We start from the raw sequence: 22,648 nt of genomic DNA, 5'->3' as shown, positions 1-22,648 counted from the left end.
GGGCACCACCCATAGGTGCCGCCCACACTCAGTTCACAGGAAGAAGATAAGCTCCAGACCCCCAAGACCAGGACTTGCCTTCCTGCCACCGCTTGTAGCTCCAGACCTCCATGTCTCCCCTGACCACTTACACATGGGCCAGGGAGCTATTCCACACAGATCAACCCCAAACCGGGACCGCCTGGCATGCAGGTCGCTGCCACTTCCCTCTCCATTTGCTCCCAGCACCTCTGTGCTCCTTCCCTCCTCCCTCCTTCAGGGGGACAGCCTGTGCAGCCCCTCCCTGCACCCCACACCCTGGGGACGCCCAACCCTGCCTCCAGCCCTTTCTACCCCGCTGCTCTTCCTGCCCATCCAGACAACCCTGGGGTCCCATCCCTGCAGCCCACACCCTGAGAAGACTGGACCCTGCCTTGGGCCCTTTCTGCCCTGCTGCTCTTGCCGCCCACCCAGACAATCCTGGGGTCCTGTCCCTGCAGTCACCACCCTGGTCTCCACCCAGACCCCTGTCTCTCCCTCCAGACACCCCTCCCAGGCCAACCCTGCACATGCAGGCCCTCCCCTCTTCTGCTGCCAGAGCCTCAGTTTCTCCCCCCTGTGCCTACCCACTGCCTCCTCCTGCCCACAACTTGAGCTCTTCCTCTCCTGGGGCCTCTGAGCCATGGCACTGACCGTGCACTCCCACCCACACACTGCCCTCACCTTCCTCCTGGACACTTTGGCTCCACTCCCCTCTTGGACATGGCCCTGGTATTTCCAGGACGAAGGCTCACCCAAGTCTTCCCCACACAGACCCTTGCCCTCACTCCCCATTTACAGGGAAATCTCCTGTGCACAGAAGCAGGGAGCTCAGCTCTTCCACAGGCAGAAGGCAATGAAAGAAATCGGCCTCCAGCGCCCTGATGCACATCCGCCTGTGTCTCTCACTGCCCACACCTGCAGGGAGGCTCGGCACTCCCTTTAAAGATGAGGGATCCAGGCAGCAACATCACGGGAGAATGCAGGGCTCCCAGACATCCCAACCCTCTTGCAGGCCTCTCCTGGGAAGAGACCTGCAGCCACCACCAAACAGCCATGGAGCCCGCTGCATAGTAACTGAGTCAGTGACTGACCTGGAGGGCAGGGGAGCAGTGAGCCGGAGCCCAGACCATAGGGACCGAGACCAGCCGCTGACATCCCGAGCCCCTCACTGGTGGCCCCAGAAAACTCATGGAAACAGGACGGACCCACATTCCCAGCTGGACCAGGGCGGAGACTGCTGAGCCCCGAGCACCAGCCCCAAGAAACACCAGGCAAAATCATCAGAGGAGGCTCCTGAGAAAGAGAGGAGGGGAGGTCTCCCTCACCAGCAAATGCTTCCCTTAACCAAACACAGGGTCCACGCAACTCCCCCAGGACAAAGGAGGAGCCCCCTGTACAGCACTGGGCTCAGAGTCCTCTCCAAGACACCCTGAGTTTCAGACAAAAACCCCCTGGAAATCACAGTATCAGCAGGAGAACTGGCCAGAGACAGCAAGGGGGGACTCCGTGACACCCATGGGGACAGGAGGATTTTGTGGGGGCTTGTGTCACTGTGAGAATATTGTAATAGTACTACTTTCTATGCCCACAGTGACACAGCCCCCAGTCCCAAAGCCCTGCTGTAAATGCTTCCACTTCTGGAGCTGAGGGGGAGCGTCTGGGAAGTAGGGCCTAGGGGTGTCCACCAATGCCAAAACACACCAGACTTCCCCCCAGACATCACCCCCACCAGCCAGCGAGCAGAGTAAACAGAAAATGAGAAGCAAGCTGGGGAAGCTGGCACAGGCCCCAAGGAAAGAGCTTTGGTGGGTGTGCAAGAGAAGATGCAGGCAGAGCCTGAGCAGGGCCTTTTACTGTTTCTGCTTTCCTGGGCAGAGAATTCCATAAACTGGTGTTCGAGATAAATGGCTGGGAGTGAGCCCAGGAGGACAGTGTGGGAAGGGCACAGGGAAGGAGGAGCAGCCTCTATCCCACACTGTCATCTTTCGAAAGTTTGCCCTGTGCCCACACTGCTGCATCATGGGATGCTTAACAGCTGATGTAGACACAGCTAAAGAGAGAATCAGTGAGAAGGATTTGCAGCACAGATCTGAATAAATTCTCCAGAATGTGGAGCCACACAGAAGCAAGCAAACAGAAAGTGCCTGATGCAAGGGCAAAGTACAGTGTGTACCTTCAGGCATTGCTGCTGGGCACAGACACTCTGAAAAGCCCTGGCAGGAACTCCCTGCAACAAAGCAGAGCCCTGCAGGCAATGCCAGCCCCAGAGCCCTCCCTGAGAACCTCATGGGCAAAGATGTGCAGAACATATGTTTGTCATAGCCCTAAACTGAGAATGAAGCAAACATCCATCTGAAGGAAAACAGGCAAATAAACGATGGCAGGTTCATGAAATGCAAACCCAGACAGCCACGAGGACAACAGTACAGGGTTACGGGCAACTCTGTGGTTGAGTTCATGACAATGCTGAGTAATTGGAGTAACAAAGGAAACTCCAAAAAATACTTTCAATATGATTTCTTCTAAATAAAATTTACACCCGGCAAAATGAACTATCTTCTTAAGGGATAAACTTTCCACTAGAAAAACTATAAGGAAAATCAAGAAAACGATGATCACATAAACACAGTTGTGGTTACTTCTACTGGGGAAGGAAGAGGGTGTGAACAGAGACACACAGGTTTGGCAAGTCTCCTAACAAGAACAGAACAAATACATTACAGTACCTTGAAAACAGCAGTTAAACTTCTAAATCGCAAGAAGAGGAAAATGTACACAGCTGTGTTTAGAAAATTCTCACTCCGGCACTGTTCATAATAGCAAAGACATTAACCCAGGTTGGATAAATAAACGATGACACAGGCAATTGCACAGTGATACAGACATACATTCAGTATATGAGACATCGATGATGTATCCCCAAAGAAATGACTTTAAAGAGAAAAGGCCTGATGTGTGGTAGCACTCATCTCCCTGGGCATCCCCGGACAGGCTGCAGGCTCACTGTGTGGCAGGGCAGGCCGGTACCTGCTGGCAGCTCCTGGGGCCAGATGTGGAGCAGGCACAGAGCCGTATCCCCCCGAGAACATATACCCCCAAGGATGGCACAGTCGGCACATTCCAGAGAGAAGCAACTGAGCCACACTCCCAGGCCAGAGCCCGAGAGGGACGCCCATGCACAGGGAAGCAGAGCCCAGCTCCTCCACAGCCAGCACCACCTGTGCAGGGGCTGCCATCTGGCAGGCACAGAGCGTGGGCTGGGAGGAGGGGCAGGGACACCAGGCAGGGTTGGCACCGACTGAAAATTACAGAAGTCTCATACATCTACCTCAGCCTTGCCTGACCTGGGCCACACCTGACCTGGACCTCACTTGGCCTGGACCTCACCTGGCCTAAGCCTCACCTGGCCTGGACCTCACCTCTGGGCTTCACCTGACCTCGGCCTCACCTGACTTGGACCTTGCCTGTCCCGAGCTCACATGATCTGGGCCTCACCTGACCTGGGTTTCACCTGACCTGGGCTTCACCTGACCTGGGCCTCATCTGACCTGGGCATCACTGGCCTGGATCTCACCTGGCCTGGGCTTCACCTGGCCTCGGGCCTCACCTGCACCTGCTCCAGGTGTTGCTGGAACCTCAGTAGCACTGAGGCTGCAAGGGCTCATCCAGGGTTGCAGAATGACTCTGGAACTCTCCCACATCTCACCTTTCTGGGTGGAGGCACCTGGTGGCCCAGGGAATATAAAAAGCCTGAGTGATGCCTGCGTGATTTGGGGGCAATTTATAAACCCAAAAGGACATGGCTATGGAATGGGTAGGGACAGTACAGACAGATATCAGCCTGAAATGGAGCCTCAGGACACAGGTGGGCACAGACACTGTCCACCTAAGCGAGGGGCAGACCCGAGTGTCCCCGCAGCAGACCTGAGAGCGCTGGGCCCACAGCCTCCCCTCGGTGCCCTGCTACCTCCTCAGGTCAGCCCTGGACATCCCGAGTTTCCCCGGACCTGGCAGTAGGTTTGGGGTGAGGTCTGTGTCACTGTGGTATTATGATTTTTGGACTGGTTATTATACCCACAGTGTCACAGAGTCCATCAAAAACCCATCCCTGGGAGCCTTCTGCCATAGCCCTCCCCACAGTGGACCACCACATGCCGCGTTAGGATTTTGATCGAGGCCACAGCACCATGGGTGTAGTGGCTACCACAGCAGTGCAACCTGTGTCCCAAACACACAGGGCAGCAGGCACAATGGACAAGCCCAAGAGTGACCACCCTGAGCTCCTGCCCGCCAGCCCCGGAGACCATGAAACAGATGGCCAGGATTATCCCATAGGTCAGCCAGACCTGAGTCCAACAGGTCTGCATCGCTGCTGCCCTCTAGTACCAGTCCAGATGGGGACAGGCACCCAGCAGTCCCGGAAGCCCCTCCCTCAAGGCTGAGCCACATGTGTGGACCCTGAGAACCCCCCAGGTCCGAGTAGGGGCAGGAGGGCGGGGCTGGTCCTGTGCACTGTCCCTGCCCCTGTGGTCCCTGGCCTGCCTGGCTCTGACACCTGAGCCTCTCCTGGGTCATTTCCAAGACAGAAGGCATTCCCGGGACAGCCGGAGCTGGGAGTCGCTCATCCTGCCTGGCCGTCCTGAGTCCTGCTCCTTTCCAAACCTCACCCGGGAAGCCAACAGAGGACTCACCTCTCACAGTCAGAGACAAAGAACCTTCCAGAAATCCCTGTCTCTCTCCCCAGTGGGCACCCTCTTCCAGGACAGTCCTCAGTGATATCACATCGGGAACCCACATCTGGATCAGGACGGCACCCAGAACACAAGATGGCCCATGGGGACAGCCCCACAGCCCAGCCCTTCCCAGACCCCTAAAAGGTGTCCCACCCCCTGCACCTACCCCAGGACTAAAAATCCAGGAGGCCTGACTCCTGCACATGCTCTGACCGGATGTCACCTCAGCCCCTCCTGGAGGGGACAGGAGCCCTGGAGGGTGAGTCAGACCCTCCTGCCCTCGACGGCAGGCGGGGAAGATTCAGACCGGTCTGAGATCCCCAGGATGCAGCACCACTGTCAATGGGGGCCCCAGACGCCTGGACCAGCACCTGCGTGGGAAATGCCTCTGGGCTCACTGAGGGGCTTTTTGTGAAGGCCCTCCTGCTATGTGACTATGGTGCTAACTACCACAGTGATGAACCCAGCAGCAAAAACTGACCGGACTCCCAGGGTTTATGCACACTTCTCGGCTCAGAGTTCTCCAGGATAAGAAGAGCCAGGCCCAAGGATTTCTGCCCAGACCCTCGGCCTCTAGGGACACCTTGGCCATGAAAGCCCATGGGCTGGTGCCCCACACTTCATCTGCCTTCAAACAAGGGCTTCAGAGGGCTCTGAGGTGACCTCACTCATGACCACAGGTGCCTGCCAGCTGCACCGAACCCTGTCCCAACAGCTGCCACAGTTCCAACAGCCAATTCCTAGGGCCGGGAATTGCTGTAGACACCAGCCTTGTTCCAGCACCTCCTGCCAATTGCCTGGATTCCCATCCTGGCTGGAATCAAGAGGGCAGCATCCGCCAGGCTCCCAATAGGCAGGACTCCCACACACCCTCCTCTGAGAGGCCACTATGTTTCGTAGGGCCAGGCCCTGGACAGTCTCCCTCACCTGCCACTAGAGAAACACCTGCCTTTGACGTCCCCATATGGCAAAGACCACTCATGGAGCCCCCAGCCCCAGGTACAGCTGTAGAGACAGTCCCCGAGGGATCTAAGAAGGAGCCATGCCCAGTTCTGCCCAGACCCTCGGCCAGGCTGACAGGAGCGGACGCTGGAGCTGGGCCTGCACTGGGCCACATAGGAGCTCACCAGTGAGGGCAGGAGAGCACATGTCGGGGAGCACCCAGCCTCCTGCTGACTGGAGGCCCGTCCCAGAGCCCAGGAGGCTGCAGAGGCCTCTCCAGGGGGACACTGTGCATGTCTGGTCCCTGAGCAGCCCCCCACGTCCCCAGTCCTGGGGGCCCCTGGCACAGCTGTCTGGACCCTCCTTGCTCCCTGGGAAGCTCCTCCTGACAGCCCCGCCTCCAGTTCCAGGTGTGGTTATTGTCAGGGGGTGTCAGACTGTGGTGGATATAGTGTCTACGATTACCACAGTGGGGCCACCCATAGCAGCAACCAGGCCAAGTAGATGAGCCACTGCCATGCAGCCCCAGGCCTCCAGCTCACCTGCTTCTCCTGGTGCTCTCAAGGTCACTGTTGTCTGCACTCTGCCCTCTGTGGGGAGGGTTCCCTCAGTGGGAGGTCTGTTCTCAGCTTCCCAGGGCCTCATGACTGCATGGAAGGTCAAGGGCTGGGCCTGCCAGGGGCACGGCACCCTCACATGCTACACCTAAGATAGGGTGGGCAGTCTGGTGGGGACAGGACATACTGCTGGGGTGTCTGTCACTGTGCCTAGTGGGGCACTGGCTCCCAAACAATTCGGTCCTTGCCAAAATCCCCACTGCCTCCCCTGCTAGGGGCTGGCCTGGTCCCCTGCTGTCCTAGGCAGCTGCTGACCTCCAGAATGGCTCCATCCCCAGTTCCAGGGCCAGAGCAGATCCCAGGCAGGCTGCTGTCTGGGAGGCCACCCCCTCCTTGCCAGGGTTCACTGCAGGTGACCAGGGCAGGAAATGGCCTGAACACAGGGATGACTGCACCATCCCCCAACAGAATCTGCCCCCTCCTGCTCTGCACCCCGCACCCCCCAGGCCAGTCCACGAAAACCAGGCCCCACATCAGAGTCACTGCCTGGCCCTGCCCTGGGGTGGACCCCTCAGCCCCCACCCTGTCTAGAGGACTGGGGAGGACAGGACACAAGCCCTCTCCTTATGGTTCCCCACCTGGCTCCGGCTGGGACCCTCGGGGTGTGGACAGAAAAGACGCCTGCCTGATTGGCCCCCAGGAACCCAGAACTTCTCTCCAGGGACCCCAGCCCGAGCACCGCCTTACCCAGGACCCAACCCTGCCCCTCCTCCCCTCTGCTCTCCTCTCATCACCCCATGGGAATCCAGAATCCAGATTCCTCACGAATGGCTTAGTGCCATCCACTTGGTAATGAGTGAGTTCTCACATAGTTAGATCACTCAGGATCTGATTTTTTAAGAGAGACTTGGATCTCCCCCTTTCCTTCTTCCCCCTGCTCACCATGTGACACTCCTTCTTCCCCTGTGCCTTTTACCATAAATATAAGGTTTTTGAAGCCCTCACCAGAAGCAGATGGCAGAACCACACTTCCTGTACAGCCTTCAAAACCGTCAGCCAAATTAGATTTTTTATAAATTACTCATCCCCAGGAATACTTTTATAGCAATTAAGAAATTTCTTTTTTTATTTTATGAATGTTTCATTGCCACTTAAAAAAGAATGAGTTGTTATGTTCAGACATACACACACATATTTCTACCTTATCAATTACGATATTTAGGTATTTTTTAGTCTTGCTTAATTTTGGTCCTCTTGATGTTTAATGAACTAAAACACATGAATTAAATAATTAAGATGCTGTGTTTTCTATATTTTTTCTTGTTTCCCCTATAGCTCTTCTCTGTGAATGCTGATGCTCTGTTACCTGGTGCACAGTTATTCATAACTTTTTTTTTGAGACAGACTCTTGCTCTGTCACCCTGGCTGGAGTGCAGCGGCACAATTTCGGCTCACCACAGCCTCTGCCTCCCAGGTTCAAGTGATTCTCATACCTCAGCCTCTCTACATATAGATAGTTATGTATCTATCCTATTATCAAGGTTTACAACTCCAACATTTAATTTTCAAATCAAAATCCCTATATTAGTCTTGGCCTCCTATAGGTAATTAGATTCAATGCTTACTGCCATTTTTGGTTGTTTTTCTCATTAATCTCCTAGTTATCTGAGTTTATCTTCTAACAGTATTCAGAAGTAATCACTATGCTAACTTTTGACACTGGTCTTGATTGCTGTTTTTGAAATTTTGAAATGGAATGTACAACCTCTGCCTTGAGTCTTTCATTCAACATTGTTTGTGAGATTCATATAGGTAATACATGTCAGTGGTTAATTGATTTTCATTACTGAAAATCAGTAATATGTTTAGATAATTAGTAATATGTTTAGATATTTTTCTAGTCTTTATTCTGTTCAGTTGTTCTGCCTATATCTTTATATTAATATTAAACTACTGTAGCTGTAGAGCAGGGTGTCCAATCTTTTGGCTTCCCTGGGCTACATTGAAAGAACAATTGACTTGGGCCACACATAAAATACACTAACACTAAAAATAGCTGATGAGCTAAAAAATAATAATAATAAAAATCACAAAGGAAGTTTGCAAATTTCTGTCGGGCTGCTTTCTATAAGAAAGAAAGTACTGAATTTTAAAGGAGATGATGAGGGTGAAACATCAGAATGAAATTACTGACCTCATAAGTAAAGACACCAGACAGCCTCTCTCTCTCTCTATTTCTCTCTCTCTCTCTCTCACACACATGCACACACACACACATGCCCTACAATGAAATGATCATATGAAAAAGTAACAATATGATGGCTGCTCTGAGCCAAAAGTGGAAGCCTCAAAATAAAACCTATCTTGTCAGCATCTTGATCTTGGAGTTCACAGCACTGATAAATGAAATAAAATTAATGTTGCATGAGTCACCAAATATGATAGTTTGTAATGGCATCTTAAACTGACAAAAGAAAATTTGGGGTTAGGAAGTGGAAATCTGATGTTACAATTATTTGAAAATTGTGAAAGTAGCTTGGAATTGGGTTATGTGTAAAAGGATGGGTACCTTTGACATATATGAAGAAATTTGTATGTTGAGGGTCATGCTGATAGACAGAAATGAGTAGAGTGGTTTTGGAAAATGGAGCAATAGTCATCCTTATCATAAAGTTTTTAAAAAAATCTTGGCTGGACAGTGATACAATATTTAGTGAAAGAGAAGTTGCGAGTAGTGAGAACTTGTGAGTAGCTGAGAATAGTTCTAAGTAAAGTGTTGAAGATATTTTGCTTGGTTCCTCCTGAGTGCTTATAACAAGTGAGGTAGATAAATTAAAATCAGAAAAAAATATAAATGAAAAAGAATAAAAAACCTGAGCACTTAGAAAATTCTCAACCTATCCATATTGCCAAAATCAGAAACTGTATTCTACAAAGAACACTGAGTATATGACTGAAATATCACTCAGTAAGAAGCCTAAGATACTCTATGAAAAGAAATATTTCAGGTTTTAAAGAATGAGAATTGACCTGAGACAAATCTGATGAAAACTGTTAGATTTTTCAGATTTAATGGCCTGGAATAATAGAGCTACTTGGCAGCAAATGTACATGATACTTCTGGAAGGGAGAAAAAATAAGCTTTAAATTTATTTAGAAACTATCAGACCACTGCCTTTATTTCAACAGACCAGAAAGCCTGTTTCTAAAATCTTGAGGAAGAAACCACCCAACAGAGGCTTGGGCTTGGGAGCAACCAGCCAGCCCTGTGTGTAGGGCTGCATGAGGCCTTTGACATGGGAGCTGGGCCTAGCAGTGCTTCAGGAGCGGTGCCTCTGCCTGCAGCCTTGGAGCTGACTCTGCCACCCAAATAAGCTGAGAAGGAAAAAGATTGTTTCAGAGATGATTGCAGCGGAGCCTTAAAGCATATGGCAATTTGTTTTCCTATGCATTGTATTTGCTGGAGACATACCACCCATTTTACCCCCTACTTTTTTTCTTTGGCAATGAAGCTGTCTATTCTATGCCTAACTCAACAGGACACAGCCGAGACTGTATCCAGTTTGACAAGATTCAGCACGAAAGGTTCCTATTACCTGAGCCAGATGCATCACTGATATGCGGCCACCAGTTCCTTAGGTTCATATCACTTTAAGGGACCAAATACAAATGTCAGTAGCGTATGTCATTCTTAAGCTGCAGATATGGTGTCAAAGAAGAATGTGGAGATAAGAGAGCAGGAGGAATTATGAAAATCCAGACAGCATCTTCTCTTCTAGAGTGGAAGGTACACTAGTAATTTTATGAAACAATAACATAAATGAAATGTGTCATCATCATGGAGTGTCTCACAGTGGCAGTGCACAAATAAATTTCTAAAAATTCCATAAGGTAGGTGTGATGGATGCGGCTTATTTCCACCCAGGGAGCCCATAAATACCCAGATAGGTAAAAAATCCAACACCTGGAAAGAAAAACACCTCATCTTGACATCACAAACACATCTCAGTAAGTCCAAGGAGTAATGTGGAAATGAAATGGATAATTCACAGACACATTTATTGTGAAATTTTTAGCACATGCTTGAACATCAAAACAGAATTGTCCACAATTTTAGGAAAACCACCCCATGACCACGAATCACTACACTCATAGAAACACCACTGAGTCAACAGAGTTCTAACTGTGAGCAGGTCACTACTGAGGCCTCAGGAGAATCAAGGCTCTAGGGTACATTTTACAGAACCCAGAATTGAGCCACACAATCTATAGCCAAATGATCTTTGACAAACTTAACAAAAACATACACCAGAAAAAGGACACCCCATTCAATAAATGGTGCTGGGGAAATTGGAAATGAACATGCAGAAGAACAAAACTAGACCCCTACCCTCAACACATACATACTCAACACAAAATGAATTAAAGACTTAGATATGAGACCTCAAACTATAAATGTACTCAAAGAAAATACGAGGACAACTCTTCTGGGCACTGGGCGAGGTGAAGAATTTATGACTAACACCACAAAACACACCCAAGAAAAAAATAGACAAGTGAGAATTAAACTATAGAGGTATTTCACAGCAACAGACTGAACAGGCAAGTTGCAGAATGACAGAAAATTTTCGCACACCTTGCCTGTGACAAGGAACTAACATGAAGAATTTACAAGGAATTAAACTATACAACAACAGGAAGAAGAACCAAATAACCCTATTAAAATGAGCAAAGGACGTGAGTAGACATTTCCAAAGAACACATACAAATGGATAATAAATATATAAACAATGCTCAACATCACTAACCATCAGGGAAATGCAAATTAAAACTACAGTAAGATATTATCTTACAAAAGCCACAGTGACTATTATTAAAAACTCAAAAGTATCAGATGTTGGTGAGGATGGAAAGTAACAGGAACTCATCGACACTGTAGATGAGGATGTGGACTAGGACAACCTCTATGGAAAATGGTATGGAGTCTTCCCAAAACACTGGAAATAGAACTGCCATTTGATCCAGCAATCCGACTACGGGGTAACTACCCAAAGGAAAATAAATCATTACTTCAAAAAGATATCCATGCTTCTATGTTTACCACAAAACTATTCTTAATAACACACATGTCAACCTGAGTGTCCACCAACAGATGATTTTATAAAAGAACACAGCACATATGCACAATTCAATACTAGTCAACCACAATAAGAAATGAAACTGTGTCTTTTGCAGCAAGATGCCTAGAACTGGGGACAATATAATTAGTGAACTAACTCACAAACAGAAAGTCATATGCCACACGTTATTATTTGTAAGTGGGAGGTAACAATGTGTCCACAAGGATATGGAGAGAGAAATGATGGACACCGGAGACTTAGAAGGATGGGAGGTGGAAGGTGGGAGCATGAGGAGACATTACCTAGTGGGTACAATGTACATTATTTGGGTGATATTACACTAAAAGCCAAGACCACTATGGAATATATCCATGTGCAAAAGTTGCACTCATAGCCCTTAAATTTATCAAATAAATGTACACACAAAAAAGTTAAAAATATAAAATAATTAACAGTTGACCAATGATCTTAAAATTAAAATTTAGACCGGGCATAGTGTCTCACGCTTGTAATCCCAGCACTTTGGGAGGTCGAAGCAGATGGATCATGAGGTCAGGAGTTTGAGACCAGCCTGGCCAACATGGTGAAACCCCATCTACTAAAAATACAAAAATTAACCAGATGTGGTGGCAGGCACCTGTAATCCCAGCTACTCGGGAGGCTGAGGCAGGAGAATTGCTTGAACCCAGGAGGCAGAGTTTGCAATGAGCCAAGATCGTGCCACTGCACTCTAGTCTGGGTGACACAGCAAGACGCCATCTCAAATAAAATAAAATAAAATAATATAATATAATATAATATGTAAAAAATGATCAATAAATGAAATTACTATCAGTTGAAACTCATTAAATTTAAAGACGTTTTCTACTCAAGTAACTATAAGAACATGAATGTCAAGTTTCAGATGGGAAACTATTTTCAAATCACATAACCACCAATTTAATTAGAATAAGAACTCTCAAGACTCAACTGTGAAAAAGAAATAAGAAAGAAACAACCCATGGATAAAATAGGCAAAGGTTTGTGCAGACATTTCATCAAATGAGATGTGCAGATGACACATAAGCATATAAACAGGCTGTTAACAGGATTTTCCATTAAAGGAATTCAAATCAAGCCCACAATGAGACACCACTATACACTTTTTAGAATGGCTGAAATTAAGAAGAAATACAGGTAATACCAATGCTGATGAGCATACCAAGTTCCTAGTGTCTACGACATTGTTAATGGGAATGCAAAATGAAACAGCTACTCGGGAAAATAATTTTTAGTTTTTTCTGCAATCAAACATGCCCTTAACACATGACCTAAATATCCCACTCTTGAATTTTGCTTCAGAGAAATACAATCTTATTTTCACACAAAACCTCTATTCAAATATTCAAGATATTACATGTGTGTGTGTTAGAAATGAAAAATAACATAAATGTCTCAAAATTTGAGTAGGTGAAAAAACTAGGAAGCATCTATAAATTGAATCCATCAGCAATAAAAAATATCAAATGATCGATTCACAAACCATTACAGTTGAACTCCAGGCATTATGCTAAGTGAGAGAAACCAGTCTCAAAGATCAAAGGAACACATCTGTAAGCAGCACTGTCAACCCCAGGTGTCAGTGGTTTGGGCTGGGCTCTCTCTGTCTCTCTCCTGACCAGACCCAGATGTTGAGCTCTGCCACTTGCAGATGGAAAATTGTACTATTTTCAATCATGCACTGAGGTTTGAATTACTTCACAGACTGAACCAAACAAACATGGGCTCCATTGAAGAGTGTCTGGCATTTATTTCAACCACAAGAGAACTTTCCCCAGCTCTCCCTTGTCCTCGGTTCTCTCCTGCAAGCCAGCAGCCCTGCAGTGTAGCCTGCATCTCCCATGCATCCACCCGTCTCCTTCCAAGGGCTTTCCACCACACCATCCACTGTTTTTGAGAGCACTGGCAGGCTTTCAATTTGTCCACAATCTGCTGTTACTGAAGTTAGGATTTTTAGGACTAATTAAGGATCATATTTTATGACTGAATTCCATTGCCCCCTCTCTCCTGGGACAGAGCTCCTAAACAAGGTTCTGCAGGTGTAGACAAAGTTGAGCTGTTTTATTCCTCAGCCTAGGAGCTGAGCTCTCAGTGGAGGGTCGGGCAGGAGCTTCCCACCTTCTCAGCACTTCGGTTATTGTGGGGTGGAACCTCTGCCATAGGACAGAGCTAGAAACCAGAGACCCAGTGTTCCCAGTGGCACTGGACCCGGGACAGAGCCTCCATCCATGAGTGGGGCTCCATGGAAGAAGTGAATCTCTGGCTCTCAGTAGCTCTTGTTCAGCACTGAACCTCAGCATCATGTGCTGTGTGCAGGGTCAGAGGGCCAACGTACTGGGTCCTGGGGAAGAGTTTCCTCTGGTGGGAGTTGGTAGAAGGTGACCTGTCTTCTTGGCTGCATCTGTCCGCAGTGGAGTTTACATCATGCTGAGCTGGGATGTGGAAGGAAGGAAGAGCATCTTAGATCAAGTATGATGACTGGCCTTACTGAGTTTTCTAGATTTTCTTGAATAAATATTTCTTCACTTGCTTTATGTTGTTAGAGCCTTTCCAAACCCTGTAATTTTTCAAAATAATTTTCACTGGTCTCATGAGGGCCTGGATTCACTGAAACCCTCATGCTGTCAAAGAGAAATAGAATTTTTTTTCACTTTTTAGAGAACACCCATGCGTTATAAAATAATGGGTTGACTTTTCATCCAACACTTTACAGATACCATCAACTTTCCTCTTGCTTGTAAGGTTTTAACCAGAAGAATGCTGTCATCATCTTTTCTGTTCTTTTGGAAGGAATGCCCCCTCTGCTCACCTCCACTTGCCTGCGTATATTTCTATTTGTCTTTCCTTTTCAGCAGTTTTAATAAGATTTACCTAAATGTGTGTGGGGGGGATCAGTGGGTGTAATTCTGCTGTTCTCTGTTCTCTGAGATGCATGGATTCACGGTTTACTCTGTCTCCATTTTGGGGAACACAATTAGAAAAAATGTCAGTATGAGCCCAGAAACAAGCCTCCCTGAAGAGGGAACAGGACCAGCTGGGGGCACTCAGGACCCACTGAGCACAAAAGCCAGCCTCAGGGCAGGTGCAGAGGGAGGCTAAGGTCTGGTTTCCTGTCAGCCCTGTGGCTTCCTCTCCATGAAACAGTTTCCTCTGGGGCACTTCTCTGGATTCCTTATCCTGTTCTTCCTGAAGAAGAAACATTTGTGGTGACAAGAGAAAAATTTTCTCACATGCACCAAAGGCAGAGTCACCTACAATCACTCCTGTTTCTCAATGTGAATAAATTATCAATGCTTCTGAATTCAATCAGCTAAATCTATAAAAGGTGTGGTGTTTAACTCAACACTGCAGCCCAGCTCAACAGAACTCCAAGGGTCAGTGAGCAGCAGGCAGGATAAAGTGCATGCTGGGCACTGGGGCAGAGGGAGTTAGCATCCAGTGCAAAAGAAGAAAGGCCCCGTGGTGGTCACTGTCAGGACTCCAAACCCATAGTTCCAATTGTAGGTGACCCCATGCAAAAGAAGAGAGAGCCCACCAATTGTTAGTGTGGATGTCAGGTCTGATAGTGCCACACTCACACCTCAGGTGGTTATGAAAAGATTTACCAACTCTATTATTGTCTGCTGAGAGCAGCACAGGCCTCTCAAGAAATTCCAAACTGGAATTTCTTCAATGGAACAGGAAAGGAGGCTGGCTCAGGGCTTTATAATGATTTGGTGGTGGGGTTGGGGGTAGGGGCACGTTTCTACTCAGGAGAAGGAGCTTGTGTGATTTAAACCTCACACTGGCATCAGATAAGGGAGCTTCTACGATTTCTTACTAGATTTCCCATATGTGGGGGACAAGGAAGAAGAAGAATAAACCTTAATTCATCAGCAGTGAGCACCAAAATAGGACCTGACACTTTATTCTCCCTAGCAGTTTAAGAAAATGAGTGAAAAAGAGAGATAAGAGTCCACTATGTGTGAAAAGCAAACAGATCTAAAGACAATAAAAATTTTTATTATGGTAAGCACATAATAAAAAGAAAGAGAAGAAGGAATGAGACAGGCAGGGGTGCTCAATCAATGTCCTGGGTGGGGCCTTTTCATTATCCACAGTGATCAGTTTATTCTGAAGGTCTCAGGTCAGCTTCCTGCTTCAAAATATCACAGGCCCTTATAGGGTATATAAAAATTATTATAGGATATCCACAGTTTGTCATACTTTACTAAAGTAGTCTAATAATTAGATGAAGTTCTGAATTTAATATTCAGTTGTATTAAATATTTAAAAATACCACAATCTACAAATTAGGAAACTGAGACTATATTTTTATCAAGGGTTACAGCCATCCTATACACTGGAAAGCATAGATTTGGTAAAAATGAGAGACAGGCACTCCCAAGAAGAAGGGGTTGGGCAGAAGCTTTATGCTGAACTGTTTGGTTAAACAGACTTAATCAACAGGTTACAGGAGGTGCTATGGATGTTCATGGAGGTTGTCCTGACACACGCATACTGAACAAACACACATGAAGCTTATGAGCCCTGTTCACTCACCAGTGGTGACTTAGCATTTAAATCCATTACAGTCAGGCCCTATGTGCAAATAGCAGAAGCAGAGACACAAAGGCACTCAGGGTGCACATTCTGTAAACGGCCAGAGCCAGGCCATGGTCAGTGGCCTCTGATCAGGAAAAAGATCCTGATAGCAAATGTTCAATCAAAGCTGGGGTTATGGCTTGTGGAACAGGGGGTCAGTTCATCAGGGGATGGGCTGCAATTGTCTTCATAGTGCTTGTCTCAGTGCCAGTGCTTACTGAGCCACTAGAGAAAAGGAATAACCTATTGGCAGTTAAAACATAGTTTATCTTTTAAGTGTAGAAGTGAGTGGCAAAATCCTTGCCTGGCAAGGCCTTAGGTCTTGTTTATAATTTGACATCTTACTGCCACTCTTCTGTCAGTCTTAAGATCTCTATTTTAACATGAGTGTTGGTCACTGCTGTGACTAAACCACAAAGGGGAGTAGGTATAACGAGGCGTGTCTGATCTCTTGTTTAGTCATGGTTGGAAAAAGTTTTTAGATTTTTAGGGGGTTCCCTAGGCCAAGAGATGGACTATTTAATCAGTGGTGGGTTTTAGGGATTTATTTTTAGGTTACAGTTTATAAATATGAACCCAACTATTGACTTTCTGCAATTTCACTGCTGTGTTGTGGTTAAAAGTACCTGGTAAAATTCCTTCCAAAGTGGTTCAAGAGCAATATTCTACCCTGATAAATAAAATAAATAAAATATTTTAGCCTAATGACATCCAAACATTACTTCCTTCTGAGCCCCTAAAGGGCAGATTCTAATTCCATCTATAGTAATATCAGTCAAAATATTCACAAATGCATTCTTCTAAATGCCTAATATTTTTACCTAAATAAGGTATCACCAAAAACGTGATGGGTCAATTTATTGAGTTTTAGATAATAGAATATCTCCCCCTAAAAATTGGACAGGGCAATGGTGTACTTGTGGATACACTGCTTAAGTTCAAAAAATAAAATCAATGGCAGTTCATTGTCATTTGTTGCTAAAAGAATGTGAAAATAACATGAAGGAAAATTTTTAAAGGAAAAAAGCATTTATAGTTCAATTGCTCTAATGTATCTATTTTTGTTAATATGTCTGTTTCATGTGATTTAATGTTGAACTTGCTCCCATTTATAGCAAGTTTTCATAATTATCATTCTTAGAAAGCATAATATTTTATTGAACTAACATGCCATGAATTGTGAATTTTTATGTGGGGAGATGAACATTGTCCTAGACGAAGGGCCTTCTTTCCAAGAAGCTAAGAGCTGACTAGCAAAAGGGAATTTTCAGAAGGGATATTAGGAGAAAAATGAATGCCTCTACTACACAAGAATGACTTCTCACAGAATTTGTACTGTGGCATTCTGGGGTAAGGTTACTGAACACTCCAACACCTTCCTTCCTTCTACCACCAATTTTTTTGATGAACATTACAGTTATCCCATTTTTTGTTATAAAATAATATCTCAATAAAATCTCCATAAAGATTTGCCTTGATAATATTTTGCAAACCTGAATTAGGACTCATCATCTAATCTGAAACAGACTGTCCCAGAAAATACAGAATATAAGAATATGATGTATGTGCAACAATTTTCCTTTCAGATTTTTTGTCTTATAACAGTTTATTGGGAAAGAGATCATTATTCAGTTCAAAAGGTAGGAATGCATTTGTGAATTGGGGCCTGGACATTCCAGGTAGAACAATTATTTGCTCCTTTGATGTAAGACAGTATCAAGCTTTTAGTCAATCTTATTAGAACTCTGCCATATCTCTCACTTGTATAGCCGCTGAGGATCTTTCCTGTTTCCATACTCCTTTCCAGGGTATATGACTTTTAAGTTACCTGAGTTCTGATCAGCAAATGGACTCAGGAAGAACAGGTAGTCAAGGCAGGCAATATTTCCACCACAGTTTCAGAACTCCCTACTTTGTGGTACTAAGTTAATACATTTGTGCAGCCACTACCTTTTCAAAGGTTTCTTCTTACAACCTCAAATACTATGACTGGTTCACAACCTTTTCCATAGTGCTAAATTATTTGACCAAACACCGCATATATACCATATTTTTTCAAAGCCAAACTGTATCCCAAAGAGAGAGAAGGAGAGAGAAAGAATAGCAGTAAAAATACAGTGTTATTTCAGGTTGATATTTAAAAACAATTGTGCTGGTTAATGGTTTCCTCGGGGGAAATGACAATTGAAAGTCGGTATTTTCTACTTTCAAATACAAGTCATGGTGTTTATTCGCTGCCTTTACAACTGAATAGATGGAATTCGCTGAACAAACTTTGATTCTACCCTCAATTACAACTAATTCCCTCACAAAGCAAAATTTATTTCACAACTAAACATTATGTACATTCAAGATTACTAGAAAACTTAGGACATAAGGTGCAAGTGCGACAATATTAGGAGAAAAGAAAGAGTGTGTATCAGTTTAACAGGTTTTCACATGCAAATTCACCACCACAGGGTTCGCTGTCTTGGCAACATTGAAAATAATAATAATTAACGTTTTAAGACACCTATTTTGTGTCAGGCAATGTTCCAAGTCTTTTCTATGTATTATTTTATTTCCTACTTATGAAACCCAAAGAAATTGGGTTGGTATTATTGTATCTCTAATTTTTGAAGAGTGAAACAGGCAGAAAAGGTAACTTGCCTAGTTGGAGATGGCATCTGATCTCAGGCAGGCTAACAATGGAGCCCACAGTTTTTACTACTATTAGGGGAAAAGACCAACACTATCGAATGAAATAGATTGGATCAAATCTAAGTCACTGATTGTGTGAGCTTATGCAAATTATTTGACCTTTCTGCCTAGATTTGTTTAGACTATAAAATAGAACTAATGATAATACTTTTGTCAGACAGTGGATTTGATGATTAAATGCGGTAAATCAAGGTAGGATCTTACACATAGTATTTATGGAATCTATTTCAGTTAATATTATTAATGTCTTTCATTTGTAGGGCTCTTCAGCATTTCCCAAACACTTTTATATAGTTGTTCAGTTCATCCTCACAAATTCTGTCATCACACAGTTAAGGTAGACATTCCCATACTCATTTCACTGATGAGATTCAAAGAAATCAAGTATACTGTCCAAGGTCACCCATAGTAAGTGAAGGAACCAGTTCTTCTGACTTCAAGTTCAGTAAGAATTCTGCTGTACCATACATCCTATTCTGGGAAATGTGGCTAAGTCCTGTGTAGCTAACTTCAGAACTACATGGCCATGCAAGCCAAAGAGCTGGATTTACCCCAGAAATGAATACTGTAGAGAAGAAATGAGTGAAGTAGAAGAACTAAGGGATTTCTTTCCAGTAGTTTTAAGGTAATAACTAGTCAAATTATACAAATATTTATGTAAAACGTATTTCACGTGCAAAATATGTCACTGAGTGAAAATGGCAGATCATGAAACAATAGTATTATATAATCTTACACAAACATGAAGTCATGGGATTATGGGTAATTAAGATTCGTTGTTTCCTCTTTTATGCTAATATCTTTATTTCCTAATTTTTCCATGACAAATATGCATTTTTTGTTCAATTTACAAACAACATGGAGTTAACAAAAAATTAGTGTTTACAAATGGATGCATAATTTAAAGCAATGCTTTTAGACACACCACTTACCCACACTTCCCCTCCACTTTGTGTGTAAGGGAAAGGATAATGCTACTGTCTTTGGTAAGCTTTTACCATGTCTTTACAGAGCTTCTCAAGTACTTTTCCATGTGGGGTCACTTTGTGGAGAGGAGTTAATTTGGCACCCTAGTCCTTCTATTTCACTCAGAACCAGCTTTTTCTGAAAAGGAAAGAGTGGTCCTTGATAGCAAACCCTGGCCTTGTGGTTTTCATTCTAGATGCTTAGAACAACAACAACAAAAACAAAAGACAGAGACAGAGAGAATGGAGGAACATGTCATACAATCAAATGAACCTTCCCAATCAAGAACTTTACCTGGGAACCTCCCATCTACACTTGTACACATCTCTCCCCCCAAGCTCCCTGCTTACTACTAATACAAGAACCAACTTTAATTAAAAGAGGGTTTGAATTGTTATGTTTTTGATACCTACCTTTTTTTTATTATACTTTGTTTTAGGGTACATGTGCACAACCTGCAGGTGTGTTCCATATGTATACATGTGCCATGTTGGTGTGCTGCACCCATTAACTTGTCATTTAGCATTAGGTATATCTCCTAATGCTATCCCTCCCCACTCCCCCCACCCCACAACAGGCCCCGGTGTGTGATGTTCCCCTTCCTGTGTCCATGTGTTCTCATTGTTCAATTCCCACCTATGAGTGAGAACATGCGGTGTTTGGTTTTTTTGTCCTTGCGATAGTTTGCTGAGAATGATGGTTTCCAGCTTCATCCATGTCTCTACAAAGGACATGAACTCATCATTTTTTATGGCTGCATAGTATTCCATGGTGTATATGTGCCACATGAACTCAAACAAATTTACAAGAAAAAAACTAACAACCCCATCAAAAAGTGGGCAAAGGATATGAACAGACACTTCTCAAAAGAAGACATTTATGCAGCCAAAAGAAACATGAAAACATGCTCATCATCACTGGCCATCAGAGAAATGCAAATCAAAGCCACAATGAGATACCATCTCACACCAGTTAGAATGGCGATCATTAAAAAGTCAGGAAACAACAGGTGCTGGAGAGGATGTGGAGAAATGGGAACACTTTTACACTGTTGGTGGGACTGTAAACTAGTTGAATCATTGTGGAAGTCAGTGTGGCGATTCCTCAGGGATCTAGAACTAGAATTACCATTTGACCCAGCCATCGCATTACTGGTTATATACTCAAAGGATTATAAATCATGCTGCTATAAAGACACATGCACATGTATGTTTACTGCAGCACTATTCACAATAGCAAAGACTTGGAACCAACCCAAATGGCCAATAATGATAGACTGGATTAAGAAAATGTGGCACATGTACACCATGGATACCTACGTTTTATTTATCTGTGTTTATTATAAGAACATATTTTAAACGTTTATCTCTTCCGAGTTTTTATTATGAGCAAACTGGGCACTCATCTCTTTTAAAGAACATAAGCCATTTATCTATCAAAAGTATATACTACTAGTCATCTTAATAAAAACAGAACCATTTTTAAAAGATAATAATTCAACTATGGCCAAAGAAGCAAAGTATCTATGGTTGGAATAAATAATTATTACTTTTTATTAAGTAGTTCAATTACTCCACATTTTACTTAAGTGTTGGAAACTCAAGATCTATCCAGGGACTCAAATTTGCTGCACATAGTAGACTTAGATTCAGCTGCATATAATAGAAACTCAAGCTACAGTAATTTATGCAACATAAAGGTTTAGTTTTCTTCTCTCATGCGTGCTTCTAAAGATAATCAGTCCACTGCAGTCCAGAGGTGGGCAGTGCCAAGATATCATCAGGGACCTAGGCTTCCCTGCCTTTTTGACAAATCTTTTGTAGTATGTGTTTCTTTCCTTAAGTTCACCTTATTACCTGAAGATGGCTGCTGAAGTGTCAGACAGCGGCAAAACTATATTCCGTTTATATATCGGAACATAAGCATGTCAAATGATAATCACCATAAACAGAAGAGACTGCAACATCTAATTTTTTAAACTGGGCACATTCTCAAATTGAATAAAATTGAGGTTGTATTAGTTAGGAAGATAATAAAATTGGGTGTTAAATATGTAGCTAACAAACTTTGCCACACATGTATTGGGTATAAAATTAAGAAAATGGACATAAGTGATAGAAGTTTAGAAGTAGCCCCTCTTCTCAAAAGCCTCACTCTAGGAGGTTGATACACCTCTTAAGCAAAACTTTATACCCAAATGAACTGCAAAAGAGACAGAGTTGGTGGATAGAAAAGTTTTTAAAAAACAAAAATGTTGATAAGCCAAAAAAAAAAAAAAAGACACTACAAAAACTCTTGCAAATGTGTATGGAAAAAAATAAATTTAAATTTATTTCCCCTATTCTCCACAGAACAAAAGGCCCACATACGGTGCTTGAAAAATAAATGCTTGGAATGGTGCTGGGAAAACTGGCTAGCCATATGTAGAAAGCTGAAACTGGATCCCTTCCTTACACCTTATACAAAAATCAATTCAAGATGGATTAAAGACTTAAACGTTAGACCTAAAACCATAAAAACCCTAGAAGAAAACCTAGGCATTACCACTCAGGACACAGGCATGGGCAAGGACTTCATGTCTAAAACACCAAAAGCAATGGCAACAAAAGACAAAATTGACAAATGGGATCTAATTAAACTAAAGAGCTTCTGCTCAGCAAAAGAAACTACCATCAGAGTGAACAGGCAACATACAAAATGGGAGAAAATTTTCACAATCTACTCATCTGACAAAGGGCTAATATCCAGAATCTACAATGAACTCAAACAAATTTACAAGAAAAAAACTAACAACCCCATCAAAAAGTGGGTGAAGGACATGAATAGACACTTCTCAAAAGAAGACATTTATGCAGCCAAAAAACACATGAAAAAATGCTCACCATCACTGGCCATCAGAGAAATGCAAATCAAAACCACAATGAGATACCATCTCATACCAGTTAGAATGGCAATCATTAAAAAGTCAGGAAACAACAGGTGCTGG

At 44.2% G+C, this 22,648-nt stretch overlaps 1 long non-coding RNA gene and 1 pseudogene across 1 annotated transcript in view; one reads left to right on the top strand and one right to left on the bottom strand.

Annotated features, from left to right (window-relative positions):
* The window catches only part of FAM30C (family with sequence similarity 30 member C), a 46,560-nt gene extending 33,182 nt beyond the window's left edge, over window positions 1-13,378 (bottom strand). Inside the window, exon 1 of the long non-coding RNA NR_145444.1 lies at window positions 12,896-13,378. This is a non-coding gene — a long non-coding RNA (family with sequence similarity 30 member C). The remainder of the gene's footprint in view (window positions 1-12,895) is intronic.
* IGHD5OR15-5B (immunoglobulin heavy diversity 5/OR15-5B (non-functional)) lies at window positions 6,046-6,232 on the top strand (annotated as a pseudogene).
* Window positions 13,379-22,648: the final 9,270 nt, after the last annotated feature.

Source organism: Homo sapiens, chromosome 15 (genome assembly GCF_000001405.40).
Source record: "Homo sapiens chromosome 15, GRCh38.p14 Primary Assembly".
Taxonomy (NCBI): domain Eukaryota; kingdom Metazoa; phylum Chordata; class Mammalia; order Primates; family Hominidae; genus Homo; species Homo sapiens.
The sequence above is the reverse complement of the archived record's forward strand: the minus strand, read 5'-3'. Positions and strand labels throughout refer to the sequence as shown.